Genomic DNA, 9,081 nt, shown 5'->3' with positions numbered 1-9,081 from the left:
ACCCTCTGTGGGAACTGATGGACTCCCCTGGGGAGCAGGAGGGACCCCAAGACCCCCAAGGTGCAGCATCTGTAGTAGCTTCAACCTCATTGTCACTGTTAAAATTCTACAGATTTTTCTTTTCTTCAATAGAGCAAAAAATTGCAGCCTCATGTCCCTGGGCCTTTTTTAAACCTGAATACCTGGGGCTTTAAAAAATATTAATTCACAGCCTACCTTAGGTGGGGCTCCCCTCCCGCATGGAGTGACGTGCTGCCGGCTGCAGCAGGGAGGCTGGCAGGGTGGTTTGACCACAGAGAAACTCTGCAAGGCTGAGGCAACAGCGCCCCCTTCTTCTCAAGGGTGAGACTGCGCAGCACAGCCAGAAATGCAAGGGCCTGCACCGACATGCCAGGCCTGGCATGCGGGAGGGAGCCCTCAGCCAGACTCCACGTGGAGGGGGTGAGGGGTACGGCGTGCCCACCACGAACCCTGGGCCACCGTGCAGCGTTCCCTGCTGTGCAGGAGTGGATGGAGGCCTGGCTTACCTGAGAGGAGAGACAGACTCATCAGTAAGCACCCCATGCAGGAACTTAAGAACTGAAATGAAACAACACTGGCAATCATCTGTCTCATTGTGGCTCCAAGTCGCCTTGCTCCTGTGCTGATGAGCTAGCAGGCACTTTTAAAAAACCAAAGAGGGGCTGGGTATGGTGGCACACGGCACTTTGGGAGGCTGAGGAGGGAGGATCGCTTGAGCCCAAGAGTTCGAGACTACCCTGGACAACATGGCAAAACCCCGTCTCTACAAAAAACAATAATAATAATTAACTGGGCATGGTGGAACATGCCAGTAGTCCCAGCTACTCTGGAGGCTGAGATGAGAAGATTGCTTGAGCCTACGAGTATGAGGCTGCCATGAGCTGTGATCACACCACTGCACTCCAGAGCAAGAAGACCTTGTCTTAAAAAAAAAAAAAAAAAAAAAAAATCCAAGAAAATCATCCAGGATGGCAACACTTGAGTGACTTATGTTACAATTAAATGAAGGACCTTAGCATTGTATTAAGTTATATTAGACAGTGCTTGACTTAATGATTTTTCAATTTTATGATGGTGTGGAAGCCGTATGTGTTTAGGAGAAACCATACTTAGAGTACCCATACAACCATTCTGTTTTTATTTCAGTAAAGCATACAATACATTATGTGAGATTGTGTACCCATTAATCAACCTCTCTTCATCCCCCTACTCCCAATCCTTCCCAGCCCCTGGTAACACCAGTCCATTCTCTATCTTCAGAAGATCCACTTCAGCTCCCACATCCGAGAACATGCAGTATTTACCTTTCTGTTTGGCTTGTTTCACTTAACATAATGGCCTCCAGTTCTATCTGTGTTTCAAATGGCTGAAGAGTGTTCCACTGTGTATTTACACCACATTTTCTTTATCCATTCATCCACTGATGGGCACTTAGATTGATTCCACATCTTGGCTCTTGTCAATAGTGCTGCAAAAAACATGGAGTGCAGATGTCTCTTCAATAATTTTTTCTTTTGGATATATGCCCAATAGTGAGATTTCTGGATCACATGGTAGTTCTAGATCAGTAGGGACACTAAAGTTTATAACAATCTATTGTATGTTTCAAAATAGATAGAATAATTCCAATGTTTTTAGCATAAAGAAATATTTAAGGTGATAGATCTCCTGATTACTCTGATTTGACCTATACAAATTATATGAACATATTAAACTATCACATGTACTAAAATATGTACATATATTACATCAATTTTAATATTAATAAAATCAGCTTGTGTTAGATGATTTTGCCCAACTGGATGCAAATATAAGTGCTCTACGCATATGTAACATAGACATTCGGTAGGTTAGGTGTATTAAAAGCATTTTTGACTTACAGTGGGTTTATCGAGACCTAACCATATCATATAAGTCAAAGAGCATCTGTAGGTACCTAGATTTCAATTTTCCTTAATAAAGGAAACTTGAGTCTTAACTCTCTTTCCTGCTGCCTTTTTCAAGGTAAAATACTGTCCTTACCCACTAAAGCTCTGCTATTTGCTTGCTACTGACTTTCTTTAGCATGGAATCACAGAAGCACAGAGAAGCATAACTGCCTGTCCACAAGCCAGTGAAACTGCATCAAGCAATTTCTACATGCCTGGCAGTGTTGAGCCCACGAGGAACAGACACCCATGGTCACAATTTATTGAGTAAAGAAGATAAATTTGAAAAGTTAAATATTGACCCAAGAGAAATATGTTCTTATAATGAATACGTAATTAACTGACAGATATAGGACCCAACACTAGAGAAGAGGCAGAGGAGAGGAGTCATCGAGGCTCTCAGGGATGCAGAGCCGTACTGCACGTGGAAGGGGTGGCTACCGGAGCGAGTGGACAGAGGTGGAGGAGGAGGGAGTTACCTGAAAGACAGCTGGTCCCCATTCACAGAGGACACTGGGGACAACAGGCAGGGGGCTGTCCTGTCCCTGGGGACATACAAGGGGAGACAGAAGGGTCAGCGCCTCCCTACATGTAGGCACGACCCCTTCTGTGCCAGACCAGCCTTGGGTCTTTGACCACTTTGAACAAGCTAGAAACACAGGACACGTACAGAGGGGGAGACTAGACGAGAAATGTTCCAACCGCTCTTTGTTCTGCACCCAAAACAGTGTTAAGCAGCATTGAGACCTTGTCCACGTGGTGTCAACTCTGGCTGGAGGATGCCTCCTTATCAAAGGGCCACCCACTGTGGATCCCGTCCTGCCATTGCCTTTGAAAAGGAGTTCTGGGGCCCCCATCAAAAGGAGCCATGCTCTGCCCAGTTCTGAAGACCCGTTCCGGGCAGGATCGTGGCTGTCCCTCTCCGTGCTTTGGTGCATGTCTCACGTAACAGGTCCTGCCCATGAGTGGTGGTAAAAAAAAAAAAAAAATTTAGTGACTGGGCCACCAGCATTTTAAAAAATTAAATAGAACACAAAAGACGAGAGCGACTGTAGCAAGGGAGGTCATGACATGATAAACAGTTACATTTTCATGGTGGCAAAGTAAGATGAGTTCCTCTGGCAAGGCAGCCCTGGCCACATGAACAGCGATGGCTCCCAACCTGGCCACATGGGAGACTCGCCTGGTGCTCAGAGCTCTCCGGTGTGTGCAGGCTCCCTCCTAACCATTCAATTCACAGTCTCTGGGGGTAAGCCCCGGCATCCATGGCTCCTAGAAGAGGCGGCACCCAGGTCTCAGTACTTCCTTCTTAAAAGCAGGGCCCTGATGTGTGCCTCCATGCATTGCCCACAAGAAAGAGCCATTGCATACTAGGGGTTGTCCCGGGCCATGGGGTACACTGGCAGAAGAGGACTAAAGGATCGATAGTACCCTGGGTGGGCCGTGGGAGATACGGGTGCAGCTGGTGAGGAGAGTGGGGAGCAGGCCTGGGTGCAGCTCAGGGAGGGAGCTTTTGGGTGCTGGAAGCACAGCTCTGGTGCAGCTGGTGAGCGTGGCCTACAGGTGGGCACCGAGGGGCTCCTGCAAGGATAGTTTCAGGTCTGTTGAATCCAATGGCAAAACAGTGTGCGCTTTTGTGTATTTTCAGATTTTTTCTTTTTCCATTTCATTTTTCTTCAGTCATTCATTTTTGCCACATTTTGCATAACTACTGATACATGACCGATTGAATATTAAAAAATAATAACAAGCCACTCAGGACAGATCAATTGAGAGGCAAGCATTCCAAGGGCAGAATGTCTCGGAAGGCCTCGAATGCCGGGTCCAGGGGCCAAGACTTCCACCCGCAGGGGAGGCACAGCACGCAGCAGGCGTCTGTGCACAGCTCAGTCCAGCCATGCTGCCCTGGGGCTACGTCTGCAGGCTGAGCTGTAAGTTCACCCAATGCCTGTCTGTGACAGACTTTGGTAACAAAGTGGTGAAACCAGCACCCAGGTGGGGCCAGTGTTCCCAAGGGGGCAGGGAAGGGACTTCCCTAACTGAGGTCTCCAGCCTGTGCCTTAGCTGGATTAGGAGGCAGACAAATGACCTGAGTGGAGCAGGCTGCCTTCCTGTTTCCTGACGGGCCCATTCCGCGGTGCACAGCAACCAGGGTGGGAGCTGCAGGGCCCTGGGGGAAGCTCCCAACTCCAGGTATAGGATCCAGGGCTCTGATCAGTCCAGCAGGCATTTGTGCAATCCGCAGGACACCCTCCTCAACCCCTGTCCTAAAGAGTTGAGAAAAATGCAACTAAGAGTGGGGAAGAGTTGGTGGTTTCCTGGCTTAAAGATGTGTTCCATGGAAAGTGAGGGGCTCCACAGGGCATCCCCCAAAATCCGGGAGAAGGGAGAAGGAGTGGAACAGACATTCAAGCAATGAAGCTATGTCCCCTTTTTCCTCCCTACCAGACTGCTTTAACCAGAACTTCAACCCATATGGAGTTTCACATGAGATTTTGTTTGAAGTATGTGTTTCCTGTATATATCAGTTAAAACTGTATTCAGCTGAGAGCCCTGAATATCAGTGGCATAAACAGATGTGGGTGTCTTCTTCATGCAAATGTTATATATGAACATAGAAAGAAGGACCAAAGCCTCAGGACTCTGGGTCCTTTCTGGCTTCCTGCTCTGTCAGCCTTACTACACAGCTAGCCACTTCATGGTTACAACATGGCTGCTGTGTCACCAGGCATTGCATTTGAATTCCAGCCAGAATCCAAGGAGGGAAGCAAAGTACTTGCTCCTAGAAAAGTTTCATTCCAAAGGAAAGCACTCTGTTGTGACCACCCCTAGCTGCAAAGATGTTATAAAAGTTATCTTTTCAGCTGTGCACCCTGCTGTCTAAACAAAGTTGAGCCAGATAAAATACAGGACACCCAGTTAAATTGCCCATGCAATATTTGGAACACATACCAAAAAAGTATTCATTGTCTACTTAAATTCAAATTTAACTTGGAGTTTTGCGTTTTCATTTTCTAAATCTGGCAATCCTGGAAGAAAAAAAGGAAAATAGATATTGGGTAAGTAACTAGCAGTGTCTACCTACCATGCTGCCCTAAAATAGTAACCAGAATGTCAAATGACAGCATTTATTAAACGACACTTTTTCTTTCAAAATGTTCAAAGCTCCAGAGCAAGAATCTTAAATACCAAATAAGCAACATTATAAATTCAAAGGCAAGAAAAAGGGGAAAGGAAAATAGGAAGCCATGTATTACAATATTTTCCCTTTTTGCCTGTCATTAAAAATGAGTTCCTCCCGCCACTCCCCTTTAAATTGACAGGCTTGGTTCCCTGCGCCGGGCCTACCAGGTCTAATAACATGAGTCCATGCGGCCCAAGTGCTCACATCGGGCCTGGCATGGCTCCAGGTGCTTCATGTTCATTTACTCGTTTAGTCTGTACAACGGCCCATTGGGAAGATGAGGAAACTGGAGCACAGGAGTCAAGTGACGTGCCCAAGGACACACAGCCAGGAAGCAGCAGAAGCAAGACTTGAAGCCGGTGACTGTCCATGGAGATCCACCCTCCCTTTTGCTCTGTGAACAGCCTGCTCACTGGTCCCCTTCCAGTGACGGCTGCCCTCTCTTCTACCCAAGACTACTGATGACAATGACTTTTCTTTCACATTTGGGGACACTGAGAGGGAAATATCTATTTTCTAACAGAAATAACTCCCGAGTGGCACGATTGGAAAGGGAGGCAAAGGCAATATCCTGGAAAGCTTTGTAAATCAAATTAAAGATTTGGGGTTTGATTTCCCAAAATAGAGGAGCTGTACTGATTACGTTAGCTGCTTTTAGCGGACACTTGAACCAGCAAGGAAAAGCCTGAAGCACAGAGCGAGACTGTTACTCCCTTCTCCCCTGGCCTGCCAAACCCTTCCAGGGCTCTGCGCACCCCAGCTCCTAACTCCAGCCTTTGGGCCCTAGGCCCAGGCTCTCTGCTGGCAGGATCCTATAAACACTGGCCACAAAAAGTCCAACAGGAAGCCTCTCACGTTTCATGAGCCCACGTAGTTCCACCATAACCATTTCAACACACAGGGCCTGGCTGGTGATGCCACTGTGTCCCTGAAAGGCTCCCCATGACGTGAGCCACAGGCACAAGACACATCTTCAGAACCTGGTGGGGCTCAATCATAATGTAAGCACCAGTGTTCCACCTAAACTCACAGCAATTTCTCTAGATGTTGTCAGACAACAAAAAGGGGCCACAGGACTTTACAAAGAGCAGTGGTGTGGGAGCGAGACCCAGCGCCCTCTCGGGGGCCTGGCGGATGTGCCACGTGACCTTTAGAAGCCCGTCACGTCACAGGACTTCACTTTCTCATTTTCGGGGCTGAGCTGCTCTAGCTGGTCCTTAAGATTCCACCCAGCTTGAAAATTCCAACAGTGACATGGCAGGATGTGTGGAGGTTTGCTGTCTGTTGAGACCTGGATTTGGCCATAGCCACCTGCACCCATTCCCACAAACCTCACTCAGGACTTGATGAAATACAAGCAGGAATGACAGGAATCTGCCTCGAGTCACATACCTCTCAACCAAGTGTGACTGACCCCACGGCACCTATGATGACCTAAGCATTGGCCGAGCTCCAAGCGTTCCGTCTCAGAGGCCTGGGCAGAGGGCGCCATATCCACACTGGCGGGAAGGAACCCTGGGCAAGCTCACCCCACAGCCACGTGGCTTCCCAGGAGACAGGACTCAACCTCCCAGTGTGACTGGTCCATACCCCCGTCCTTTACCTAAGAACCCCATGAAAAGCCTTGGTTTCTTGCCCTTGCCTGGAACTCACTCCAAGACCTCTGAAGTCCTTAGCTGGTCCTTCTCTAGGATCAAGTCATGGAGTAAGACTCACCATGAAGGACACCAGGCAGTTTACCCTTGCAATCTAGGGCTAGTGGGACCCCGCCCCTCCCAAGTTAACCCTCCCACACGGGTCCTGGAGACACAATGCAGGCAACATATTTTCCGGCCATTCTTAAACAACAGGCGTAGCCCCCAGCGTGGTGTCTGGGATGTGTGTCTGTTGAACGGGAGCCACTGTCCATTCTAGGCAGTTACCTTTGACCAAAGGTAGTCAAAGTCACCTAAGGATTGGCAAGAACCTCAAAAGTTATCAACAGCAGGAGGATAATGACACACACCTGAAAAGTTCTCAGGGCTTAGGGCATCACAGGTGACCCAGTCGCAACGAAACGACGTCTGGATTACAAACGTCACCACCTCCCCCGCGTACGGCTCACGCCCAGGCCGAGGCATGCGGGGCACGGCATTTACAGGGTCCTCTGCGTATCTCACAGGGTAGAGAGGTGGCACTCGAGACCCTGGGCAAATCAAAAGGAACACACGGAAGCTGGTCACGAGGGGGTTACCTGTTACCACGAGATCCAGCGCATGGGGTCCCGAGACTACATGGTGGGCTTGCTGATGTTCACGTAGTGGCCTGGACAGGTTCACTGTGCCCTCAGAAAGCCCTTACCTTCCAGTACTCCCAGCTTCCGAGGAGAGCGGGACCCATTTGACACCTCAGGTGCCTCTGTGGGGCCTCAGGCTCCCTGGTAACACAGCTGCTCCAGAGGCTGCTCCTGGAAGCCTCCTAAAGGCAGCTCTCCTGCAGGTATCAGTAGCTGAGTAGGAAGCATCACAACTCACAGGGAAATCCAGGGCAGGTCAAGAGTGCCTCCCCCCGGATACCCATCAGTCCTGCCTCCAACACAGAGGCTAACTCAGCCACGTCTCCTGCCTCCAGTGCCCTGCACCTCAGCACTGTCCTGGGTTCCTCCTCCAGATGCCCCTAGCTGTAAGCCCTCCAGTTCCCTCGGAGGCCCTGCTCAACTCCTGCCAGCCCCACCCTGCCCACCGCAGCTCATGCAGAAGCTGCACAGGGCTCTGCCCCTGGAGAGGCTTTGGAGTCCCACCCAGCTGCCTGTCGTCTTCCCCCCAGCACCACCATATGGTGCTGTCAGCGGCTTCTGCACACTCTTAGGAACCAGGTGCCATGAGGATAGGGCTGCTCTGTTCTCCAGGTGGAAGGAATGTGTGTTTTACCCACAACACCCACCTTGACAACCGGAAGGACTCTAGAGCTGATGGCTCTAGAACATGCACTCAAGGGGCTGCACAGGCTGGGACATGCAGTTCTGTCACTTACTGGCCTAGAAGAATTCTTGTACCTTTCCTCATAAATTCCAAACGTCGGCAGGGCACGGTGGCTCACGCCTGTAATTCCAGCACTTTGGGAGGCAAAGGTGGGCAGATCACCTGAAGTCAGGAGTTCGAGACCAGCCTGGCCGACATGGTGACACCCCACCTCTACTAAAAATACAAAAATCAGCCGGGCATGGGGTGGGTACCTCTAATCCCAGCTACTCGGCAGGCTGAGGCAGGAGAATCGCTTGAACCTGGGAGGCAGAGCCTGCAGTGAGACAAGATTGTGCCACTATACTCCAGCCTGGGCAACAGAGCAAGACTCTGTCTCAAAATAAATAAATAAATAAATCCCAAACGTCAGTTAAATTTTAAGCCACATTATGATTGTTTGGTTTGTAATGTCTTGTTTGCAAGTGACGCAATGCTGACCTAAAAGAAATGAAGAAACTAAAATGTTGCCCCTGGGCGGTCTAAGTACATAGTATCACATAGCAGCTTACCAGAAACTTCATATAAGAATCATTTAAACAGTTTTACTGAATTCCTGTTAGCATCAGAATGTGAGGACAGAGGACAGGTTTCTGTTACTGTTACATAGGCCTTATGCAAAGTCTAGAACCTCCACCCACTTTTTTTTGTTTGTTTTTGAGACAGGGTCTTGCTCTGTTGCTCAGGCTGGAGTGCAGTAGCACGGTCTCAGCTCACTGCAACCTCTGCCTCCCGGGTTTGAGCAATTCTCACGCCTCACCCTCCCGAATAGCTAGGATTATAGGTGTGAGCCACCACACCCGGCTAATTTTTGTATTTTTACCTCCTCCTACTTCAATGGACCAGTGACAACATAATCTCCCTGCTGCAACTTGCTTTATAGGACTGGAATCATCTGCCTTCTCTTGAATCTTATTTAGAATAAATGGCTAAAGCACTGCCCTAATTT

The 9,081-nt window shown here is 49.0% G+C and overlaps 1 long non-coding RNA gene across 1 annotated transcript, besides 1 other annotated feature; it reads right to left on the bottom strand.

Moving 5' to 3' along the window:
- Positions 188–482: an enhancer, noted in NCBI's record as "tiled region #14782; HepG2 Activating non-DNase unmatched - State 12:CtcfO". NCBI's record gives its function as "activates a minimal TATA promoter and a strong SV40 promoter by Sharpr-MPRA in HepG2 cells {active_cell/tissue: HepG2}" and the evidence as "EXISTENCE:reporter gene assay evidence [ECO:0000049][PMID:27701403]".
- Positions 1,137–8,263, bottom strand: LOC107986401 (uncharacterized). Its single transcript, XR_007058681.1, has 2 exons — positions 7,139–8,263; positions 1,137–4,978 (listed from the first exon to the last, which is right to left on the bottom strand). It is a non-coding gene; the product is annotated as an uncharacterized LOC107986401 (long non-coding RNA).
- Positions 8,264–9,081: the final 818 nt, after the last annotated feature.

Source organism: Homo sapiens, chromosome 5 (genome assembly GCF_000001405.40).
Source record: "Homo sapiens chromosome 5, GRCh38.p14 Primary Assembly".
Lineage (NCBI taxonomy): Eukaryota > Metazoa > Chordata > Mammalia > Primates > Hominidae > Homo > Homo sapiens.
This window is presented reverse-complemented; position numbering and strand designations above follow the sequence as displayed.